General features: G+C 44.0%; 1 long non-coding RNA gene across 1 annotated transcript in view, besides 1 other annotated feature; it reads left to right on the top strand.

Moving 5' to 3' along the window:
* TMEM72-AS1 (TMEM72 antisense RNA 1) overlaps positions 1-24090 on the top strand; it is a 148666-nt gene that overhangs the window by 109169 nt on the left and 15407 nt on the right. The window contains exons 3-4 of the long non-coding RNA NR_033842.1: positions 15202-16455; positions 19276-19521. This is a non-coding gene — a long non-coding RNA (TMEM72 antisense RNA 1). The remainder of the gene's footprint in view (positions 1-15201; positions 16456-19275; positions 19522-24090) is intronic.
* Positions 20471-21334: an enhancer, noted in NCBI's record as "H3K4me1 hESC enhancer chr10:45324635-45325498 (GRCh37/hg19 assembly coordinates)". NCBI's record gives its function as "activates a minimal SCP1, AML or CMV promoter by ChIP-STARR-seq in primed H9 embryonic stem cells {active_cell/tissue: H9 hESC(primed)}" and the evidence as "EXISTENCE:reporter gene assay evidence [ECO:0000049][PMID:30033119]".

Raw genomic sequence — 24090 nt, 5'->3', positions numbered from 1 at the left:
ATGCGTTAAAGAATGGGAGTCATCACAGGGCCTGGGGCCTTTCTCCTGGCTCTTAGTGACCCTGCCTCTGGGCTTTGTGAGGCTGCTGCCTGCAGACTCTACTCCATCCATCCCAGCAGTGAGCTCCCCAGAGCCCAGCAAGGAGTCCGGCACTTCTTTCTTCTGATGACAAGTTCTCTGTAAGATGGCCTGTGCTTTATTTGTGGGGAACTGGATGGCACATTTATGACTGGAGGAGAGCCTGTGAAAGAGGCTGCTCTCATGTTTCTCCTGTTAACTCCAGGATCTGGGCTACCCAGACTTCAGACAAGGCCCTTGGTGTGTCCAGGCAGCTACGCCAGGGCTGGGAACAGCTTTGCTCTCCCCACCTCTGTGTGGGGCTGCAGCCTCAGTGTGTAGAGCCCTGCAAAGGGCATTGTAGTTGTCCCCCCAACCCCTGCCTGGTGTCCAGGCTCTTTCATACAAACAGGAGCAGGTGACATGCAAGACGTACCATTCCCAGGATCCTGGGTGTGGGGAGCAACCCAGCCCAGGGACTGACATCTGCATGAGAAGATAAAGATTGTTTTGGTGGGGGAGCACCCAGTGGGATGGGGCTGCTTCCTTTTCCCCTCTCTGCTGGGAGTACTCAGGTGGCAAACACAGTCCATGTGTCCACCTGTGGGACAGAGGGAGGGGCACAGGCTGGTGTTTTAGTCAGGGTTCTTCAGAGATAGGACTGATATATATATATATATGTATATATATATATGATGTATTTATATATATGTATTTATATATACATATATAATCTATATGCAATAGAGAGAGAGAGAGAGATATGAAGAGTTCATTAGCGGAATTGGCTCATATGATTATAAAGGCTAAGTCACATGGCAGGTTGTCTACAAGCTGGAGGCCCAGGGAAGCTGGCAGCTTGGCTCAGTCCAAGTCTCAAAGCCTCAAAACCTGAGGAGTTGATGGCTCAGCTTGAGGCCAGAGGCTTGAGAACATAGAGTCAGGGTGTAGGGGCAGTTGGGGTGAGTCCCGGAGTCCAAAGCCTGGAGAAACTGGAGTTAAGATGTCCAAGGCAGGAGAAAAAGGGTGTCCCAACTTCAGCAGAGAGTGAATGAGCAAGGAATTCCCTTTCCTCCACCTTTTGTTCCGTCTGGGCCCCCAGCTGATTTGATGGTGCCCACCCACATTGAGGGTGGTTCTTTCCCACTGGGTCCACTGACTCACACACCAATCTCCTCTATAAATAAACTCACAGACACACCTGGGGCAACCCAGTTACTTTCATCAAATGTTAAACTGCCTACTGAAGCATTGAGAATAATTAATGCAGCAACTGAAAATAAATAATGCTTTACCAGCTATCTGGGCATCCCTTAATCCAGTCCAGTTAACACTCAAAATCAACCACTAGGTTGGCCAAAAGGGAGGCCAAAAGCTGGAGTCTAAGCAGCAGCTCGACCTCACCTCAGAGCAGCCTTCACTGTGTGTTGTTCTTCCTGAGCTCTGAGGTCTCAGTTTCCAAATACCAAGAAAAAGCTTGAGCAAGAAGCTTTCTAGTAAGGTCATTGACTAATATGTAATAAAACATTCCCCCAAAACATGGTAGCTGAGATCAATAACAACATTTAATTTGCTTGGGAATCTGCAATGCAGGTAGAGGCGGCTCATCTCTGTCCCACTTGGCACCATCTGGGGCAGCTCCCAGTCACGGGCTGGGGCTGCAGTCATCTGAAGTCTCCCTCATGCCTATGTGTGGCTGTGTGGCTTTTTCAAGGGGTGATCTGGCTTCCTCACAAGATGGTGGCTGGGTTCCCAGTGCCAGCATCCCCATAGAGAGGGAGAGATCTTGATGGAGAGAGTGAGAGGGAGAGGGAGGGGAGGCGGGAGAACATCATATGGAAAGTGCATCATCTATCACCTTTTATGATCTAGTCTTGCAAACTACTTGTGATGCATTCTATTAGTTAGGAGCAAGTCACTAAGACTGGCCCATAGTTGAGAGGGGGAGTAGACTCCACTTTTGGACAGAAGAAGTGTCAAATAATCCTTGTGTACAAGCTTTGATACTACCGCCTTCCAAGCCCCTTCCACCTCTAAGGAGGCCACAGGCCCGGGCCATGGCGTGTGGCAGTGCTGTGAGGCCCTGGCTTCGTGGAGCCCTGCTCTGCCAGTCCTGCTCCCTAAAGTTCACTCACCTCCCAGTTGAACCTGCACACTAGGTTAGAACAGGAAATTGTAACCATCTAAGAAGGGGCAGGATAGTCTAACTTCTCCCTCTCTCTCCCTCTCTGTCTTTTTTGTTGTTGTTTTGAGTAACTTTAGCGTAAAACTAGTCCAGTACATAAAAATCTGAATTGGGGAGTATCTGAAAGTCCCATTTCCAGAAATCTCCAGTCGGCTGGCTCTCCCACTTTTTACTTTTCTTTGAAGACTCCTCCGAGTGGCTCTAGCCCAAACACAAGCCAGTTGTCACAAAGTTCCCTTCTCCAGCCAGTTGGGAGTCACCCTTGGCTGGAAAGCTCTTGCCTGCCTGGGCTCTGGGCCTGGCCCCCTCCATGCTGTCCGTGGGTCTCTCCTTTTTATTAGCTTCTCCATCAAGAAGGCTTTCATTACTTTCCAATGCTCTGAGCTTCTCAAGTTCCCCCTTCCTAGGAAAAGTGCGTTTTTAAAGACAGTTCTTCAGCCCACCACTGCACCCTCAGGATGCATGCCACCTGGGGCTGGAGGCTGGTGTCCAGGGTGAGGGGAGTTAAAGGATCTCCTTGGCCTCTGCTGCTCCAGTGACAAGAGCACATTTTCTGCCCTCCACTTACGTCCTGGGACATCTCCTTCAAATGCTTGTCTTTTGGCTTCTTGATGGCAGTGGCAGAGAATTGGAGGTGGGATAATTTGGGAGGTGGTTGATAGAACAAGAAGGGAAACAGAGTCATCTCTGATTCCTCTCCCTGCCTAGCTCATTTCTGTGGCAGAAGAAGGCACTATGCTTTTCCCTGACACTGGGCCCTTTCATGCCCGAAGGTGGGAACGCCTGGTACAATTTCCTGCCATTTCTTCACACCATTGCTAACTCCCAATGTGTTGGGCATGGACACTGCAGAGAAGCTGATGCCCAGGTGAAGCTGTGAAGCTGGTGAAGCTGTGAGCATCTGGCCAGTGTCGGCTGCCCTTTGTTGGAGGCAGTGCAGCATGGCCTCAGGGCTTGGCATCACACAACTCTGAGGGGCACCTGGGGAGCCAACCTCATAGAACACAAGCTGAATATTGCCCCTTGCAGTTCTACAAAGCAGCTGCTGACCCTCCAGCAAAGGATTAGCCATCAGGAGACATGGATGCAGATTTCAACTCCACCCCTTTCTGGATGCATGACAAGTGACAGGTTATTTCTCATTTCTGGTCTTAAATAAATTTCGCCATCTGCAAAAGAACAATTTTGAACAAAGTTGTTAAATCTTCAGTTCAAATGTTCTATCATCCTAATATTGATGAAAGATTATGAATCCTAAATTAGCTGCAAAGTAAATGAGATGCTCTTATGGTTGTGGTTCTAGGGTATTTCCTGAGCAAGAGACAGAGGGTCAGAGTGGGCCATGCAAACATGTTGCCAGGTATCACGGGCTGCTTGCAAATAGAAGGTAGGAAGCAGCAGTGTGCCAAACCTAAGAGCATTGTGGAGGTGGATCCAGAGGCAGATCCGTTGGGGGGGGGCCCTCTGTTGAGATTTCCCTTCAGTCTCCCCCACCCCCACACACGTCATCTCACTTGGATCTCCCTCTATGCCCCTTCCTTACCAGATTCTCTCTAACTCATGCTTCAAGACTCAGTCTTCCCATCAGCTTCTCCATGCAGATTTCATAGGAGTCCACATCTGGGTCTGGTGCCCTCCACCATATTTCTTCTATACCCTGTGCTTATCACTGTAGAGTGGTTTTAAATCTTCACAGCCAGGCGTGGTGGCTCACACCTGTAATCCCAGCACTTTGGGAGGCTGAGGCAAGTGGATCACCTGAGGTCAGGAGTTCGAGACCAGCCTGGCCAACATGGTGAAACCCCATCTCTACTAAAAATACAAAAATTAGCTGGGTGTGGTGGTGCATGCCTGTAGTCCCAGCTACTCGGGAGGCTGAGGCAGGATAATTGCTTGAACCCAGGAGGCAGAGGTGGGAAAATTTGGGAGGTGAGCCAAGATCGTGCCAACGCACTCCAGCCTGGGCAACAGAGCAAGACTGTCTCAAAAAAAAAAAAAAAAAACTTCACACACACACACACACACACACACACGCACAATAGTCATAGAGCTTTATTTTTATGCAATCGATTATAATCAGTTCTCTGCCCCACTTCTGCCAGGGCTGGCAGAAATCTCCCTCATCTCTACAACTGGGGTTTGTTCCACTCATCCCAAAAGTCTATGAAGGGGAACTTAGTTTGAGGAGGGCATCTGGGAGGACTCTATTCATGGCCGAACTGGCCACCTTTGGTTCACTCCTTGTCCAGTGCTCCACACCTTGGTTCCCCTTTGTCTGGCCTGGCTCCTGGTAAGCAGACAGTGCCAGGATCCCATCCGAGGCTTGCGTGTGGGGCTCTTTGCTGGGACCTGCGGGCAGTCTCCCTGCAGCCAACCCCCAGGGAGCTCCCTCGGAGGTCCTGCCACCCCCCGGAGCAGTGCAGGTGCCTGCTGCTCACACAACCCCATCTAATGTGTCCTTTTTAGTGCTGGGGACTCTCTTTCTCCCTCTTTTGGCTCTTGCCCAGTCCTTTCTCCCCTGCTTTCCCTTTGTCCTCCTCTGTGGGACCCATACACTACTCTTGATGAAACAAAAATTCATATTTTATGAAACCCTCCAGCCACATTATGTGCTATATTAAATTAAGGAGTTATGTTTATATGTATGTTTTCCCAATTAGCAACACACTTGGGGCAGGCAAGAGCTGTGTTGTATTAATCTCTACTATTCCAAAAGCTGAAAAAATGCCAGACACACATGGAAACTTGAGATGTTTTTGTTGAGTTGAATTGAATTAAATATCCCTGTTGTCCAGGGTTATCCAAGATGAGTCTAATTCAAGATTCTTTTTTCTCTTTCTGCCTTTTTTTTGTGGGTCTGGTTGTTTGAAGAAAAATCACAAGAGTTTCTATCTTATGGCCTCTTTGAATCTTTGAGAATTGGCAAAACCCAAAGTCAGGTGAGTGATAACATCTTGTCAGTAGCTGGGAGATAAAGGAATTAGGTTTCAGCCCTTGGAGAAAAGGAGGCGGGGACAGGCCAGAAGAATAGGGTTACAGCCTATTCTATTTCTATTCTAGTTAACTAGAATAGAAAATTAGAGACAGAGCAGAAACCCAGTCTTAGCGACTGGATCTATTTGGTGGTGATGACCAGGAGCAAGGCGCTGGCTTGGTTGGGCACTGGGGCATGGGGGCCTAACATTATCACCACAGGACAGCACCCTTCCATCTGGTAGGGGCATGCTAACACCTGCCATGCCTAGTTCTCAGTGACTCCGGACACAGTGGGGGCAGCCTACCCATTAAGGCCTTCATTGTCTTTGGTCTAATTTCCTGTTATGGAAATTACAAAGCTCGATGGAGTCATCTCCAAATGGAGAGCTGTCCTACTCTGCATGGAAGCAGGTCTCCAGGCAGATGAAAGATGGCTCCTGAGGAAAGAACACTGACGTTAACTCCAGGGGCTGCTCAAGTCCTAGGGTGGTGATCAAGGCTTTAGATCCACAGAATGTAGAAGCTCTGATATCTGGAGCTTGAAGCTTTGGTTGCATCCACTGGCTAGCTGAGTAGAATTTTGGATTTTTGTCTCTGGCTGAGACTGACAGGCTATGGGGACTCCAAATGTTCCCTGAGTGATGTCATGGAGTCCATGGATTCACTGAATAGAATGTTGTGGGAAGTCTGACTAGAGCAGTAGGGCCACACCAGCTAAATTAGTGTTCACTCTTCTTTCTGAGTATGGTGAGCCCACAAGGCTGGCTGCCTCTGAAGGTCCCTCCTGGTTCTCAATAGTAAACCTCATCATCAGCAGAGAGTATGGTGGGGCTCCTCTTCCTGTGTGCTGCGGCTCATGAGCACACACATACAGTTTGTCTAAGACCTGGATCAGATATTTAGATGTAAGTGAAAGAGAAGGGGTTATTACTGAGTTCAGGTTTGGAAACTGAGTTGTTTGGAAACTGTTTCTTCCCACTTCCCTCTGGGTAATATTGTGATAAAGGTTTTCAACAAACACTGTCAAACAATGTCTTGTTTCCAGTTACATTTTCATGGAATGTAATTAGATTATTTTAGTGACCAATAGTGAAATGATTATGTCGTAAGCCAGGCTGCTTCAGGCCATAAGCTGATGTAGAGTTTTGGAGATGACACACTGATTGATCCTTGGCGTAGGCAGAGGTGAAATGTGCAGTTTATTGGGATGGTGATAACTCTACCTTGACTCCACATTCAGGATAAGTAGTAGATCTTTTAGTTAGAATTACAATTCTCCATTCAGAAAAACTCTGAAGAGTTTATGAAAGACCGTTTGTAGTGAAAAGAATTAACGTAGTATTTATTTATTTTCTGTTTCCATATGCCTTTAGGATTAAAAATATTTGGATTAAAAACATTTTTTTCTTTTTGAAATCAAAGTTTTATTTTGAGATCACTGTAGATTCTCATGCAGTTGCTAGAAATATTACACAGAGACCCCATGTGCTCTTTACCCAGTTGCTTTCAGTGGTTAAACAAATCCTGGTATATCCATGGTACCATGAATTACAGTACAATATCACCACCAGGATATTGACATCAGAACAGCCAAGCTACAGGGCATTCCACTGCCGCAAGGATTCCTCATGTGGTCTATTTATAGTCATACCCACTTTCTTTCCTATCTCCACCCCTCCTTAGACCCTGGATACCACGACTCTGTGCTCCACATCTATAATTCTGTCATTTTTGAGAATATTATGTAAATTGAATCAGATAGTGTGTATCTGATAGTGTGTAAGCCAGTCTTTTGGAACTGGCTTTTTCTCACTAGCATCATTCTCTGGATATTCATCTGTTTGATGTATTTATCTATAGTTTCTTCTTACTGCTGAGTAGTATTCCATAGTATGGATATATATTAATAGTACCCAATTGTTTAACCATCTACCTGCTGAAGGACATCTAGTTGTTTCCAGTTTTTAACTGTTGTAAATAAATTGCTATAAATATTTGTGAACAAGTTTTTGTGTGAATGTAAGCCTTCATTGCTCTAGGACAAATGTCCAAGAGTATAATCACTGGGTCATATGTTATTTGCATGTTTATTTTTTTAAAAAATTGCCAAACTGTTTTCCAATGTGGCTGAATGATTCTACATTCCTACTTGCAATGTACGAGTCATCCAATTTCTCTGCATCCATGCATTGGGTGTTGCACCCAACATTGGTTGTTGCACCCAACATTGGGTGTTGTTACTATTTTTTTTTTTTTTTTTTGAGACGGAGTCTCGTTTTATCGCCCAGGCTGGAGTGCTGTGGCGCGATCTCCGCTCACTGCAAGCTCCGCCTTCCGGGTTCACACCATTCTCCTGCCTCAGCCTCCCGAGTAGCTGGGACTACAGGCGCCCGCCACTGCGCCCGGCTAATTTTTTGTATTTTTAGTAGAGACGGGGTTTCACCGTGGTCTCGATCTCCTGACCTCGTGATCCACCCGCCTCGGCCTCCCAAAGTGCTGGGATTACAGGCGTGAGCCACCGCGCCCGGCCTTACTATTTTTTATTTTAGCTATTAATGTAGGTATATTGGTGGTATCTCATTGTGTTTTTAATTTGCATTTCCCTAAAGGCTAATGATGTAAAATATTTCATGGGCTTATTTTCCATCTGTATATCCACTTTGTCTTTGTGTCTTTTGTGCATTTTCTAATTCGATTTTTTTAATTGTTAGTTTTGAAGCTTCTTTATATATTCTAGATATTAGTGCTTTGTTGGATATATGATCTGCAAATATTTTCTTACACTCTGTAACTCATCTTATCATTCTTTCAACGAAAGTTTTTAGGCCAGGCACAGTGGCTTACACCTGTAATCCCAGCACTTCAGCAGGCTGAGGTGGTGGATTGCTTGAGCTCAGGAGTTTGAGAACAGCCTGGGCAACATGGCAAGCCCCTGTCTCTTTAAAGTAATAACACAAAAGTTTTAAACTTTGATAAAGCATTCCCTCCCCTTCTATTTCCTGGAAAAGATGTACAGAATTGGTGTTAATTCTTCTTTAGATTTGGTAGGAATCTCCAGTGGAATCCTGGAGATAAATATTTCCATCTGGGCATAAATATTTCTTTTAGGGGGTTTTAAAATTACAAATTAAATTTCCCTAATAGTTATTGGCTATTCAAACTATTTATTTATATTGGATGAGCTGTGGTAATTTGTCCTTTTCAAGGACTTGGTCCATTAAATCTAAGTTTTTGTAGTTATGTGTGCTAAGTTGTTTATGGCTTTCCCTCGTCACCCTTTTGCTGTCTGAAGGGTCTGTATTGGTTTTCCTTGTTTTATTTCTGATATTAGTAATTTGTATCTTCTCTCTTTTCCCTTTGCCAATCTTATTAGAGGTTTGTCAGTTTCATTGATAACCTATTGTTTTTCTCTTTTGAATTTCACTGATTTATCTTTGTTATTTCTGGAAGCTTGCTTTGGATTTATTTTTGTCTTCTCTTTCTAGGTTCTTGACAGAGGTACATAAATAAATGATTTGAAACTTTTGTTTTCTATTGTGTACATTCAGTGCTATAAATTTCCCTCTTAGCACTGCTTTTAACTGTGTCCCACAAATTTTAATGTTATGTTTTAATTTTTATTTAGCTCGATGCATTTACAAATTTTCCTTGAGATAGCCTCTTTGACTCAGACTATTTAGAAATGTGCTTGTGAGTTTACAAGTGCTTGAAATTTTTCCTGTTATCTTTCTCTTACTGATTTCTAGTTGATTTTATTGTGATTAGAGAACATACTCTCTCTGATTTCAATTCTTTTACATTTGCTGAGGCTAGATTTATAGCCTAAGATAGTGTCTGTCTTTGTTTTCTGTTGCTTATAACAGAATACTCAAAACTGGGCGATTGATAAAGAAAAGGATTTTTTTTTTTTTATGGTTATAGAGGCTGGGAAGCCCAAGGTTGAGGGCTGCATCGTGTAAGGACCTTCTTGCTGGGGCGGACTTGCTGCAGAGTCCTGAGATGGTGCAGGGCATCACATAGAAAGGGGGCTTAACATGCTCATGTCCTAGTTTAGGTCTCCCTTCCTTTTCTTGTAAAGCCACCAGTCCCACCTCTATGACAACTTATTAACCAATTAATCCATGAATGAACTAGTCCATTCATGATGACAGAGCCTTTATGACCCAATCACCTCTTAAAGGTCCCACCTCTCAATACTGCCACATTGGGGATTAAATTTTACAATGAGTTTTGAAGGGGACAAACACTCAAATCATAGCACTGTCTATCTTGGCATAGGTTTGGTGGGCACTTGAAAAGAATGTTCATTCTGCTGTTGAGTGGAGTGTTCTATAAATGTCAATGAGCTCTTGCTGTTTGATGGTATCCTTGATTATTTTTTGTCTAGTTTTTTTTTACCAATGGTTGAGAGGGGGTGTTAAAGTTTCCAATGATAACCGTTGACTTGTCTATTTTTCCTTTTAGTTCTATCTGTTTTCACGTCACATATTTTGTCGCTCTGTTGGTTGGTGCATACACGTTTAGCATTTCTATGCCTTCTAAATGGATTGACTCTTTTATCATTAAATAACGTCTCTGGTAATTGCTTTTGCTCTGAAGTCTACTTTATCTGATATGAACATTGTTACTCATTTTTTTGATTAGTGTTTGCATTATATATATATATATATTTTTCTTCTATCCATTTACTTTCTACTTGCCTATATTGTTATACTTGAAGTGAGTTTCTTATAAACAACATATATTTGGGCCATTTAAAGAGTGTTCTCTGCCAACCTCTACCTTTTATTTGGCCTCTTTAGTGCATTCATGGAGTACTTAATTCTATTCCAAATTAAAGTCTTGTGAATGCTATCTGATAGACAGAAAATAAATCATCCAGTATCCTGAGTTCATGAGAGGTTAAGAAAGCTCATTTGATGTAATCCCAGCACTTTGGAAGGCCAAGGTGGGCGGATCACGAGGTCAGGAGTTTGAGACCAGCCTGGCCAACACAGTGAAACCCTGTCTCTACTAAAAATACAAAAATTAGCTAGGTATGGTGGTGCATGCCTGTAGTACCAGCTACTCAGGAGGCTGAGACACAAGAATTGCTTGAGCCCCAGAGGCAGAGGTTGCAGTAAGCCACAATCATGCCACTGCACTCCAGCCTGGGTGAAGGAGCTAGACTCCATCTCAAAAAAGGAAAAAAAAAAAGAAAAGAAAGCAAGCTCATTTCAGGTGGGGTGTGGTGGCTCATGCCTATAATCCCAGCACTTTGGGTGGCTGAGGCAGGTGGGTCTCCTGAGCTCAGGAGTTCAAGACCACCCTGGGCAACATTGTGAAACCCTGTCTCTACTAAAATGCAAAAAATTAGCTGGGCATGGTGGTGCATGCCTGTAGTACCAGCTACTCAGGAGGCTGAGGCACGAGAATCGCTTGAGCCCCAGAGGCAGAGGTTGCAGTGAGCCGAGACCATGCCATCGCACTCCAGCTTGGGCTACAGAGTGAGACTCTGTCTCAAAAAAAAAAAAAAAAAGCTCATCTCAACTTTCCAAACTGCTTTTCAGTCAAGCACATGAGAAATTAAAACAGCAGCTGCATGAGGTGTTTACTCATCTCTTAGAAATGATCTACTTCCTGCTGAGGGACTCCTCGCTCACCTCAATTCCTGGCACTGTTGTTCTCATTCTTATGTGCTAGTCACAACTCCGTCCTCCTGGGAGTTTGTGGAGTGTGGTGAATCCAGGATGAGCTTCCTTATTTTGAGGTGGCTTTCACTGCAGTGGTCTCTTTATTTGGACTTGCTATTGGTTAAACCGTCGGAGCTATTCTGTGTAAGTGTCCATAGACATGGGTTTTAGGGGACTGATATTTTAGCTGTGTTTAAATTCTCATATGGCTAAGGGCAGCTTATTTTTTTCTGAGGCAAAGGAAAAGAAACACAGGAAACATCCATCAGGTCATATTTAATGCTGAAAAGTTCTGACGCAGTTTGACTTCATGGTGCTAATGACAGATTTAAATGGAACTGATGCACATGGATCTGAAAGTCGAATTTTCTCTGTTTCTGGAAAATTAACATGCGTCTTTAGAGGCATGATCTGTCCTCACACCCGGGAAGACATGAATGAGATATCTAAAGCAGCACTCAATAGGATAACCAGGAAAGCCACAGGAGGGCTAGAGAATCGGCTAGTGGAGTTGAAAGCCACATCAAATGGTTAGAACTTAGTTACTAGTGTGTAATCTCTTGGATAAGAGATGTCTAAATCCAGAAGAACCAATGCCAGAGGTGAAGCCCGTCCATCCATCCATCCATCCATCCATCCATCCATCCATCCAGGTAAACCTGATGGGATCCATAGAAAAACAAGAGGCAGCAGCATGTTTTCCTGCACAGGGAAGCTGGGTTCAAGACTTATGCCAGTCAAGCAGCCTGGAGGTCTGAAGTGTCAACCTGGGGAAAGAAGGAAAGTGTGGAAAAGACAAGGGAAGGCCGGGCACAGTGCTGTAATCCCAGCACTTTGGGAGGCCGAGGCGGGTGGATCACCTGAGGTCAGGAGTTCGAAACCGGCCTGACCAACATGGTGAAACCCCGTCTCTACCAATAATACAAATTTAGCCAGGCATGGTGGCGCATGCCTGTAATCCCAGCTACTAGGGAGTCTGAGGCAGGAGAATCATTGGAATCTGGGAGGCAGTAGTTGCAGTGAGCCGAGATTGCACCACTGGACTCCAGCCTGGGCAACAAGAGGGGAACTCCGTCTCAAAAAAAAAAAAAGACAAGGGAAAAACTTGAGGGCCCTCAGCTTATGGTGGAGGGAAATGAAAAGGGGAGAGGGAGTGTGTGCTGAAAGCCTTCTTAGCCCTGGCCATCCTGGAATGTACCCTTATCTGGCATGAGGATAACTCCTTGCTCTGAATCAGATCCCAGCGTCTCTGCACTAGGACCCCAGCTGGTCCGGGAGCACACGAACAGCCATCATCTCCTTTGCTTCCCACCTCCACATTTTCTTATATGCCATGCGTTCTTTAAACAATTCTTTCTACAAGATTTTCTGTGTCTTCAGAGAATGCTGCTTGAATGTTGCTAGAGTTTTTATTCATTTCTTATTTAATGTGATATATTAACAGAATGTCTTATAGGAGGGCAATGAAGGACTAGGGAACAAAGGAGTGACACAGAAATGAGAAAAGTTTGAAAGGTAATGTCAAAAAAACCTCCCAAAGTCAATGAAAAATCTATGTCCTTATAAATGAAGCAATTACACTAATTGAAGGATACAGATCTGAATAAATGAATAGACCAAGCATGTTCCTGAATGGGAAGACTCAATAGTGAAGACATTGGTTCTCCCAAATCAGTGGATGTTATTTTGTCTCAGTGCTAATCCAGTGCTGCTTCTCCTGGTTTCTTCTTATAGGTCATTATTTATATGAAAACTTACTCAAGTACTGTATCTTTATATATTTATTAGCCATCAGTACCTTTTACTATGAATCTAATGTTCATACATTTTGCTTATATGTTTATATTGTTTGTCTTATTTTTTTGGTAGGATTTCCATATATATTCTGGGAATTATTACTGTTCATTCTTGTTGTAAACATTTTCCCTGCCTGTAACTCTGCCACTTATCTTTATACTTTGTTCATGGTGTCTTCTGTCATACAGAACTCTTAAGTTTTATCTGGGTTCAAGTGATTCTCATGCCTCAGCCTCCCGGGTAGCTGGGATTACAGGCATGCGCCACCATGCCTGGCTAATTTTTGTGTTTTTAGTAGAAATGGGGTTTTGCCATGTTGGCCAGGCTGGTCTTTAACTCCTGACCTCAAGTAATCTACCTGCCTTGGCCTCCCAAAGTGCTGGGACTATAGGCATGAGCCACCACACCCGGCCATTTCCTTCTTTTTATTTATAATTCATCAACAACGTGCCTTGTTCAGCAAGGATTCTTCCACCTTTATAAGTTTGTATTTAAAAAATTCCTATATGTACTTTTATTCCACTGGAAGTTTTATATTTATCCTTTTATTCTAGCTAGAATTCATATTTGCATATTGGTCAAAGAGGGAACTGACTTTATTTTCTCTTGTAATTGTATTGCTGGCTTACAGCAGTTTATTTATTTATTAATCATAACTCACCCTTTCCCCACAGTTTTGATATACCGTTTTGATATACCATTTTAAAAACACAGTATATATGGACTCATTTCTACTGCTTTTCTGCTTCATCGGTTACTTAACAATTCCTCCATCAGTATTGTTTCAAAATATATTCTGATATCTGAAACAGCAAGCCTGTTTTCATAATTATTCTTTCTCAGAATTTTATTGGTTATACTTATGTGTTTCCTAGAAGAACTTTAGAATCACCTTGTCACATTTTATAAATCATCCTTTGAGAATCTTGGTTTGAGTGTAATAAATCTCCTAACTGATTTGGTAGAACTGATAATTTTACAGTATGGGGGATTCTCAGCCAGAAACGATTTGTTTCTCATTGATTCAGGTATTTTATAGTTTTTCAAGAATGTATGATTGTTTTATTTATATATGCCATAAACATTTCTTATTAGTTTTTAGGAGTCTTATGGGCTTATGAAATTTGTAAAGGAGGACTTTTTTTCTATTTATTTTTTACTACAAAATATTAATTTCTGTATGGCATTCTTATTAATCACCCATCTCCCTGAATTCTATTACAGTTTTATTTAGTAAGTTATTTGTCTTGGTATTCTAGGTATATAATCCTTTCAGTTGAAAACATAGAATTTTCTCTTTTGTTTTCAAAATCATAGCTTTGCTTTATTTTTCTTAACTTACTCTATTATATGAAACCTCTGTGCAATGCCACACAGTAGCAGTGATTACAGAATTATCTTATGCCTGACTTTGTCATATTTTCTAACCCCTACAAACTGAACCAATATTCAAGAATCTTAGTTCTAGTTCCATCTCAGTTGCCGCTCTTTGTTAGTTTCAGTGTATTTATAAAATAAGGAAATTGAATTCTCTGAGCTCTTATTTTCCTTCCAGTTCATGTATTATGTGATTTAACAGATAGGCATGACAACAAAGATTAGCTTTTAAATGTGAAAATGGGAACAAAATAGGGCCTAATTTATTTATAATAAAATGGAATCTATTTGATAACCAGGTTACAATTTACCTACAAGATTTGAAAAGTTAAGAAAACCCACCAGTTGGAGATGTAAATCCCAAGAGAGGTCTTCACCCTTCTTGAAAGCTCATATGCCAGAGAAACTAATGATTTGATCAAGAGAGTTTTTTCCCCCCCAGTATTCAGTTGTGCTAAATTGGCTAAAAATGGTGCATAATTGTACACCACAAGTATCCATACCCAACCTGCCTTACTTTCTTTGACTTTTCCCTTGTAAAATCTTATAATGGACAGAGAAGAGAAATTGGAGAGAATTTGAATGTTGTGCTAGCAAAACATAAGATATTGCAAGACTCAGTTCAAGTTTAAACTTCATTCCCTTTCTTCTGAAAGTCAGCCATAATTCTCTAGCCAAATTGTCTGAAAAAGGATCCTAAGGGGTGTCAGAGAAAATGAAGCAGATCAGAGAGTTATGGGGCCTCCATCCACTCAGGAGAAAGCTAAGGGGCCTTGCAGGAGACAGTGATGGATTCAAGCCATAGGAAAAAGCATACATCAAGGGCCTCTACCTCATCCCTATCTTTGGAGGATGTGTATAATTTATAGAGTGTTTAAATTAGACAAATGGCCCAATCGATTTAGAATAAGGGACAGGAAACACATGTTTATTTTGCATTAAACTGAACTTCACCAGGGTAGAAATGCTTATGATCTCCTGAGTTATGGTGCTTGGGTTCTCCATGAAAGTGTGCCTAATTACTGGGATTGCTTCTTTGCACAAAGGCGATCCATTATGGAACATGCTGTCTCCATAAAGAACAGGGAATAAGCTAAGCAGCTCAGGCTAAGTGGTAATTTATATCATTGTTTATAGAAAGAAAGAGCAAGAGCAGGCAGGAGGGCAAGACGACAGCAAGAGAACAAGAAAGAAACCTGAAGAAAAGAAGTTTTAGTGAAGATGGAAAGGCTTAAAACATACCATGGAGAATGACCTCAGCCTTCTGTGTGGAGGATTTGCACTTGGAGATAAGGAAAGAGAGGGACTTCAGAGAGTTAAGCAGTTCAGTTTCCTTTGCATTTCTTACATCTGAGCAGGTGACCGGAGTGAACACTCTGGAAGCCACAGTGGAGTCCTCTGCTTGGGGCCTCTTTCTGGAAACCAGATCAATTCACTGAAAAACAATTTGCAAATGACTAGTTCATTGAGAAGCAAGTGACCAAAACTCTAAGTCACCGAATGACCTGCTCATTGATTTATTGAAGATTTTATTCCAAGGTCTACTTCCCTCTGCATTTGTGGCTGCCATTTCATATGTGAATGGGTGGGCAGTTTGCTGTCATGCCCTTTTTGTGCATCTCTATCCTGACCCTGTATGTGGTGCTGCCTTTTCCCAGGCCCCCTGCCCCTGCCCTGGCCTCTGTCTGCAAAGCAGTTGCAGCAACCTCCCTCTTGCTGTTGAAGATACTCATCTGATGTCTATTGTGAATTGGCTGGAGCCCTTCTACAGGTTTGTTAGCGTCCCTCTGCATCCAGGCTGATGGTGCCTGCCATGCTTCTACATGCTGTTCTCTGCCACCCACCTGAGCCCAGCTAGAGTCAGTGGGGAAGTGGAGGAGCCACATCAAAACAGTGTGTCCACCTCAGTCACCCTCCAGTGTGCATTGACGACCAGGCAGCCATTAGACCCAAATGCAGCCCCACAGCATAGAGGCAAATGGAAAGGCCACATATCCTCTTTTCATTCTCCTTCCATGTGAGGCCCTGCAGAGCCTGGCATCTGTCTTCATCATCGTGGCATCCTCAGACTCTTTCTTCTTCCTGGAGCGAGCTGTGCTCTCTGAAGCCACTGCCTGTGTGGGAAGTACCCCAGCATTTCTTCGCTGTTGCCAGGCATCCCTTCCTGTCCTACCACTTCAAATGCATCTTTTCATGTGTCCTTCCTGAGCACCTCTAGCAGCTGCATGTTCCTGTTTCAGCCTCTGCCTTTCCACAGCTCCTCCAAGATTCCTCTATTGCAGAGCACAGCACCACCTTGCAGGAAACCTCCCAGAGGACTGTGAGGACCATGAAGCAAGGGGCTGCATCTTATTCTCCTTGGTGTCTGGCCCAGCAGTGGGCCCAGGCCAGGTAAGTCTTCTATGTGTGTGCTGAGTGATCAATGGACAAGAAAACCAAGCAGTGATGGGCCTGAGAGATGAGCACCCTGGCGTGCTGGGGGTGTCTTGATATACTGAGTTTTAACAAGCTGAGTGACAAAAAAAATGCCAGGGAACTTGAGAGAAGATGGGAAGGAGGTGGAGGGTCTCTATGAGGTGTGAGTTTCTTCCAACCTGGCGTATCCGGAGTGGGGAATGAATCTTCAAATGCCTAGAGCCTGCTGTCTGTACCATCCAGTTACACTCCAGGAGCAACCCACAACTGGTAATTCCCTTGGTGAATTCAAGCAAGGATCTCCAATTTATTTTTAGATGTTAGATGTAGTGGTTAATTGAATATGCCCCACACCAGCACAGTCCAACCAAACTTCCTTCAATAATGGAAACATCCGATATTCACTCTCCAACATAGCTTCCTCTGGCCACACTGGGCACTTGAATTGTGAATAGTACAAACTGAGAAACTGAATGTCTTATTTTTAAAAATTTTTAATGGATTTTGGCCACTGTCTTGGATAGTGCAGTGAGAAGCAAACCATATGGATTCAAAACCTGTCTCTAGCAAATGTATACTGGCTGTTTGCCTCATGTCCCATTTCCTCATTTATTAAAGGTAATAGTATATGTACTCTTGTTTTTTGTGGTGATTAAATTATTAATCTGCTTTGGTTATCTATTGCTACATGACAAATCACTTCAAATGTTGTGGCTTTAAAACACCAGGAGCAATTGATGACATTTCATGGTTTCTGTGGGTCAGAGATTTGGGCAAGGCTGGGCTGTGCAGTTCTTGCTTGGTGTCTCTGTGGTTGCAGCCATGTGGCCTTCTCTTCCACAGTGGCTCAGTCACATGGCTGGCAGGTGGTCCAGTGGCCCCTACATGGGCTGCATGAGTGTCCTCCCAGCACAGCAGTTGGCTTCCCCAAGAGCGAGCCACCGTGAGAGTGGGGAAAGCTGCAATGGCTGTGATTCTGTAGCCTCAGAAGCCACTCACTCTCACACTGAATGAGCATCCTTGGGGGCCATCTCAGAGGCAGCTGCCATAGTTAACACTGAGGCCAGGCCTGAAGAAGCCCTGAGCAGATAAAGCTTGTTAAGCCTCCTAAGTGACTTTAACCTCACTTGCTTTGCAAACATTACAGAGACTTAACTTGAGCTATTTCTTGTAAATATCTATCTTAAAGAAAAGCAGAACGTAATCTCAACCAATCAGAAGCAGCCAACTCACTCATAATTGAAAGCATACCGTGTTTTATTGCACGTCACTTTATTGAACTTGACAGATATTGTGCTTTTTTAAAAATTGAAGGTTTGTGGCAACTCTGTGTTGTGCAAGTCCATCGGCACCATTTTTCCAACAGCATATGCTCACTTTGTTGTCACATTTTGGTAATTCCCACAATATTTCAAACCTTTTCATTATTATTATATATAGTGATCTGTCATCAGTGATCTTTGATGTTGCTGTTGTAATTTTTTGCAGGGGGTACAAACTATACCCATATAAGATGGCGAACTTAGTAGATAAAGGTTGTGTGTGTTCTGACCGCTCTACTGAAAAGAGAGACTGTTTCCCTCTCTTTCCCTCTCCGCAGGCCTCCCTTTCCCTGAGACATACCAATGTTGAGACTAGGACAATTAATAGTTCTTCAATGACTTCTAAGTGTTCAAGTGAAAGGAAGGGTCCACATCTCCCACTTTCAATCAACAGCTAGAAACAATTAAGCTTAGTGAGGAAGGCGTGTCAAAAGTGGAGACAGGCTGAGAGCTAAGTCTTGTGCACCAAAGAGTTAGCCAAGTTGTGAATGCAAAGGAAACATTCTTGAGAAAGTTAATTTCTTAGAGAAAATCATCATTCATGTATTCAATGAACACATGAACGATAAGAAAGTGAAATAGCCTTATTGCTGATACAGAGAAAGTTTAAGTGGTCCAAGTAGAAGATCAAAACAGCCACAGTCTTCCTTAAGCCAAAGCCTAATCCACAGCAAGGCCCTAACTCTTCAGTTCTATAGAGGATGAGAGAGGTGAGAAAGTTGCAGAAGAAAAGTTGGAAGCTAGCAGAGGTTGGTTCATGAGGTTAAAGGAGAGATGCTGTCTCCATAACATAAAAGTACAAGGTAAAGCAGCAAGAGCTGATGGAGGAGCTGCAGTAAGTTCTCCAGAAGATCTAGCTAAGATCATTGATGAAGGTGGTTACACTAAACAACAGATTTTCAGTGTAGATAAAACAGTCCTCTGTCGAAAGAAGATACCATCTAGGACTTTTGTACGTAGAGAGAAGTCAATGTCTAGCTTTAAAGCTTCAAAGCTTCAAAGCTTCAAATGACAGGCTTGTTAGGGGCTAATGCAGCTGGCGACTTGAAGTTGAAACCAATGCTCGTTTATTATTCCAAAAAAACTTAGAGCCCTTAAGAATTATGCTAAATTTCCTCTTTCTGAAAAAACAAAGCCTTGATGATGGCACATCTGTTTACAGCATGGTTTACTGAATATTTTAAACACATAAGTGAAACCTAGTGCTCAGAAAAAAGATTATTTTCAAAACATTACTGCTCATTGCCAATGCACCTGGTCACCCAAGATGGACATATACAAAGAGATTAATGTTTCATGCCTGCTAACACAACATCCATTCTGCAGCCCATGAATCAAGGAGTAATTTTGACTTTCAAGTCTTATTATTTAAGGAACAAATTTTGTAAGACTATTGTTCCTATAGATAGTGATTCCTCTGATGGATCTGGGTAAAGTAAATTAAAAATCTTCTGGAAATAATTTACCATTCTAGATGCCATTAAGAACATTCATGATTCATGAGAGGAGATCAAAATATCAACATAAACAGGAGTTTGAAAGAAGTTGATTTCAACCCTTGTGGATGACTATGAGAGATTCAAGGCTTCAGTGGAGAATGCACCTACAGATATGGTGGAAACAGCAAAAGAAATAGAATCAGAAGTGGAGCCTGAAGATTAAACTGAATTGCTGCAATCTCATGATAAAACTTGAACAGATGAGGAGTTGCTTCTTACAGGTGAGTAAAGAAAGTGCTTTCTTGAGATGGGATCTATTTCAGGTGAAAGTGCTGTGAACATTGTGAAATGACAACAAAGGATGAATAATTTTATATAAATGTAGATTACAATAAAGTAGTGGGAGTGCTTGAGGGGATTGACTCCAATTTTGAAAGATGTTCTAATGTGGGTAAAATACTATCAAACAGCATCACATGCTACAGGGAAATCTTTCATGAAAGAGTCAATGGATGTAGTAAACCTCATTGTTGTCTTATTTTATGAAATTGCCATGGCCACCCCAACCTTCAGCAACCACTGCCCTGATTAATCAACAGCCGTCAACATGTCAACATCAAGCCTAGACCCTCCACCAGAAAAAGATTACAAGTCTCCGAAGGCTCGGATAATCATTAGTATTTCTCAGCAATGAAGTATTTTTGAATTAGGGTATGTGCACTGCTTTTTTAGACATAATGCTATTGTACACTTCATAGACTATAGTATACTATAAACATAACTGGTATTCAGTGGGAAACAAAAAACATGTGACACACTTGATTGTGATATTTGCAGTATTTGCAGACAGTAGTTTGTCACTGAACCCGCAATGTCTCCAAGGTATGCTTGTATGTAACTAGAGGTTTTTTCAGTGGGATAGACTCAATAAGCCAATTGCATATCCATAATCAATTAAATATTTTCTTTTGTTTGACTTCCCTGTTTGTATTATAGAAATCTCCTTCTTGCATTCCTTTGATGGAACTCACAAACCACTTCCTCTTTGGAGCTGCCTAATTCATGAATCCCTGTTTGCTCAAACTCTTTAAAAATTTTACTGTGCTTTGGTTTACCTTTTTAACCCTGCAATGTGTATCAAAGGGTGCTTAGCACATAGTGAATGGAGATATTAGTAGTTCTTCTCTGATGCTTTCCAAGTTCGGCGAAATCTTGAGGCTCTCCACTCACATTTGCAAATGCTAAACGCTCCTGTGGTGGAGAGAGCAGGGGGGCTGGTGTGTGGACACCCTCTGAGGTGTTCTCACTGGCCACTGGCTCCTTTTGTTGTCTCCCTTTCAATTCAGTACCAGAACATCCCTTCACCGGCAACTTTCGAGTGGGCCTGCTGAAACAATCAAGGCAGTGCCTCCACTTAACTTTGAGAAGGTAGTGTGTGAGAGATTTAGAATAAGCAGCTCTGGAACTACTCCCAGTTTACTCTTATAATTACATACACAAAAAAATCAAAACCTCAGTTTATTTGTCCAAAAATGGGGATAGTATTCTTGTCCTACATGATGAGTGTACTAATCCTTCCAGCCAGCATTCACCTGGGGCTCTGTGCTCCAGGCAGGGTGAGGGTTAGGACTGCATGTAGGTGCTGCCTTCACACCCGGAGCAGGCTGGAGCGAGTGGTGTGAAGCCTCCCAACCCCACGGCTGGGGGCAAAGGCTGTGCTAAGGCACCCGGACATGGAGCTGGCCTGGCCTGAGGACTCAGAGTGGAAAGACAGGAAAGACACTGGCTGCGCTGAAGCGCTGGGACCCGGGAAGGGGCGTCTAGGCAAGAGCGCCTGTGAACAGGATTTGTAAGCTGCTCTTGGTGACTTTTGGACAGACACTCTTACTTGCTTTACTGCTCCCCTTTGTCTTCTGCCCCCTTTCCCTAAAAGTATTTCCAAATGTGTGATGCCCACCAGGTTCCTGGGCAGTGCAGTGGGATGTCTGCTTGGTTTCTGCTGATCCTCACAGAGCCTGGTGACTTCTTCCTCCCAGGTCTGTGGATCAACACTGTCTCCCTGGCCTCTACCCAGCGCGCAGGACCCCTTAGCAGAGCAGGAGAACTCAGGTTGGAACTCATTATTGCATGGTGCTTGTCTTGCCATCTGTCCCCATAATGCCTTAAGTGACAATGACATAGGCATCTGACAATGTATGTGGCCATCACTTTTTATCATTTTAAGATATATGGGCCTTCTTTTTCCAACTCTTTTCCCCCGCCAGACAGCCAGGAGCCCAGAGAAGGGTTGTGTTGTGTCCTTTACTGAGCCCCACAGGCCTGTGTGAGCCAGGGGCTTGGCATGCCTGGGAATAAGAGCGCCAGCCTTTGGCCTTCCCGCAGCCTCTCCTTGGGGCCTTTAGGGTCCCCACAGGCCCTCCCCTCCCCTCTGCATTTTCCAGGATCCAGCCAGCTGCCGGCACACTTTCGTCCTCCTCCGCACACGAGGATCCCCAGGCCCAGCGGTGTTAGCCCAGAGAGGAGCGGCGTTTGGGATGTGATCCACAGCTGATCCCTCGTGGCCCCTCCTCTCCCGAATCCTGAAACATGAGGAGGCCCTTCAGCTGCTGGCTCGGAGTCCGACTATGGGAACTTTCTCCGGTCTACGGGGGCAGCAAGGGTCTCGCCTCAGGGACTTGGTTTATTTATCTAGCTGGACTCCATCCCTTAATATCCTACTTACAGAGGAAGAGGCTTTAGCAGCTAAATGCAGCCCCATCCCCTCCTGTGGAGACTGTGAGCAGAAAAAGAACAGATATTTACAGAGGCCCGAGCCCCCCTTGTTGTTTTCTGCAAGGCTGTCGAGCTGGTGGAGCTTCAGGATCCTGGTCAGGAACCCCGAACCCAGCGCTGGAGGCCCTGAAGATCAGGGCACCCGACCCTCTTCCCAGCCGCCAAAGGCCTGTGTTGGTCTGATTGTGGATTCCAAGCTCTAATTTCCATCCATCCTCCCAATCCGAATTCCCTTTGCAGACATAAACACCATCAGCAATGTAGAGAATGTGTTTCCTCATCTTTGAATATTAACACTCATCTGTTTAATTGAGCTACTTTTTACATACATGTAAGATGTGCTGCAATTGCAAAAGAAACATGTGCTTCGTGTTCTATAAGCCATATCTTCCGCAAGACCTGCCATCAAATGATTGCTCAAACATTTGTTGAATGGGATGAGCAATGGAGGTTCAGACAGGTGCCCTGACCTACCCAGGCTGGAGGGTAGGGAGCTAGAAATTCATACAACCATGCCTTGTTCTACTTGTTTTGTGAAAGAATCATGTGACCAGTGACAAAGAGGCTGGGCAGCTGGGTCAGGCAGCAGGGACAGCGACTGAGCTGGGGGGACTACAGTGCTGTGCTCCTCTGCACCCGTGCTGGGATGTCTGAGGCCAAGCTGACACTGGCCCCCCACAATCCCTTGGGGCTGCTCCTCCTCAGGGAGTGGCTCTCCGGGTTTCCTGCTTGACTCCTGCTGCTCTTGTGTTGAAGGGCCGTCTCTGGGCAGCTCCCCCTGGCCCCTGGCCAGAGAGCCAGGCCCTGTCAGGCACGCACATGGAGGATGAGGGAGGTGCAGTTGTTTTCACAGGTGCAGACTCTAGAGGGACCCCACGTGGACTCTGTGGCTTCTGCCCCGACGCACTCGCGGGAGGACACAGCTCTGCCCGGAAGGGAGAGTGCTGAGCTGGGTCCCTGCTGCTCATCTCTGTGGCATCACCCTGTCAGTCCTTCCCTGTCACACATATGTTCCGCAAGACCTGCCGTCAAATATTTGCTCAGTCAAACATTTGTTGAATGGGATGAGCCATGGAGGTTCAGACAGATGCCGTGACCTGAAGTGTCAAATGAAGGGATGCGTGTGTGATGGCCTTCACCATTTATATTGTTTTAAACTTGCTAAGCACTAGTTAAAATAAAAAAGCCAACACTTTTCTTTACATTTTTACTCTCTCTCTTTCTAACATATAGTATGTAAAAAGAAAAATCTTGGCTATTCCAATAGAGGAAGTGGCTGTGTTTTGTTTTGCTATTTATTTATTTATTAATTTATTTTTTCTCCTCACTGTATTAGTCTGCTTGGGCTGCCATAGCAAAGTACCACGGACTGGGTGGCTTAAACAACAGAAACTCATTTTCTCACGGTCCTGAAGTCCAAGAACAAAGTGTCAGCAGGGTTGGTTTCTGGTGAGGACTCTTCCGAACTTGCAATGGCTGCCTTCTCACTGTGTCCTCATGTGGATTTTTCCTTGTGTGTGTGTACTTCTCATGTGCTTTCCTTTTCCTATAGGATAGCAGTCCTGTTGGATCAGGGCCTCACCCTTGTGACTGCATTTAACCTTATTTACTTCCTTAAAGGCCCTGCCTCTAAATCCTGTCATACTGGGGATTATGGCTTCAACACTTAGATTTTGGGGGAGACACAGCTCAGTCCATAGCACTGCCCAATGGGCAAAGCTTGGCCAGCCTCCATGTCTGTGGGGCTTCTCTTTCCTGCGAGGGCCTGGTCTCCTAGAGAAGCCCCAGTCTTCCCTGTTCCTGGTTGTCCCCATCCTTCCTCCTCTCAGGGGAGGAGGCCAGACCTTCTCCTTGGACTCAGTGCTTGACCAGCTACTCCCTCCACAAGGTGCAGGCAGGAGGAGTTGAGTGTTAGTAGCTCAGCCCAAGATGTCTCCTGGGGTTGGCTCTCACTGATCCATGCCAGGGGAGCTGATCAAGCACCTGGAAGTCTCTAAGGGCAGCTCCCTCCTCTGGCCCTGCTCTCCTCTTTTGTCTCCCTGCAGTGGGTGCAGTCTGAGGGCCCTGGTGGTGCATTT

The sequence above is a fragment of the Homo sapiens genome, chromosome 10 (assembly GCF_000001405.40).
Source record: "Homo sapiens chromosome 10, GRCh38.p14 Primary Assembly".
Lineage (NCBI taxonomy): Eukaryota > Metazoa > Chordata > Mammalia > Primates > Hominidae > Homo > Homo sapiens.
This window is presented reverse-complemented; position numbering and strand designations above follow the sequence as displayed.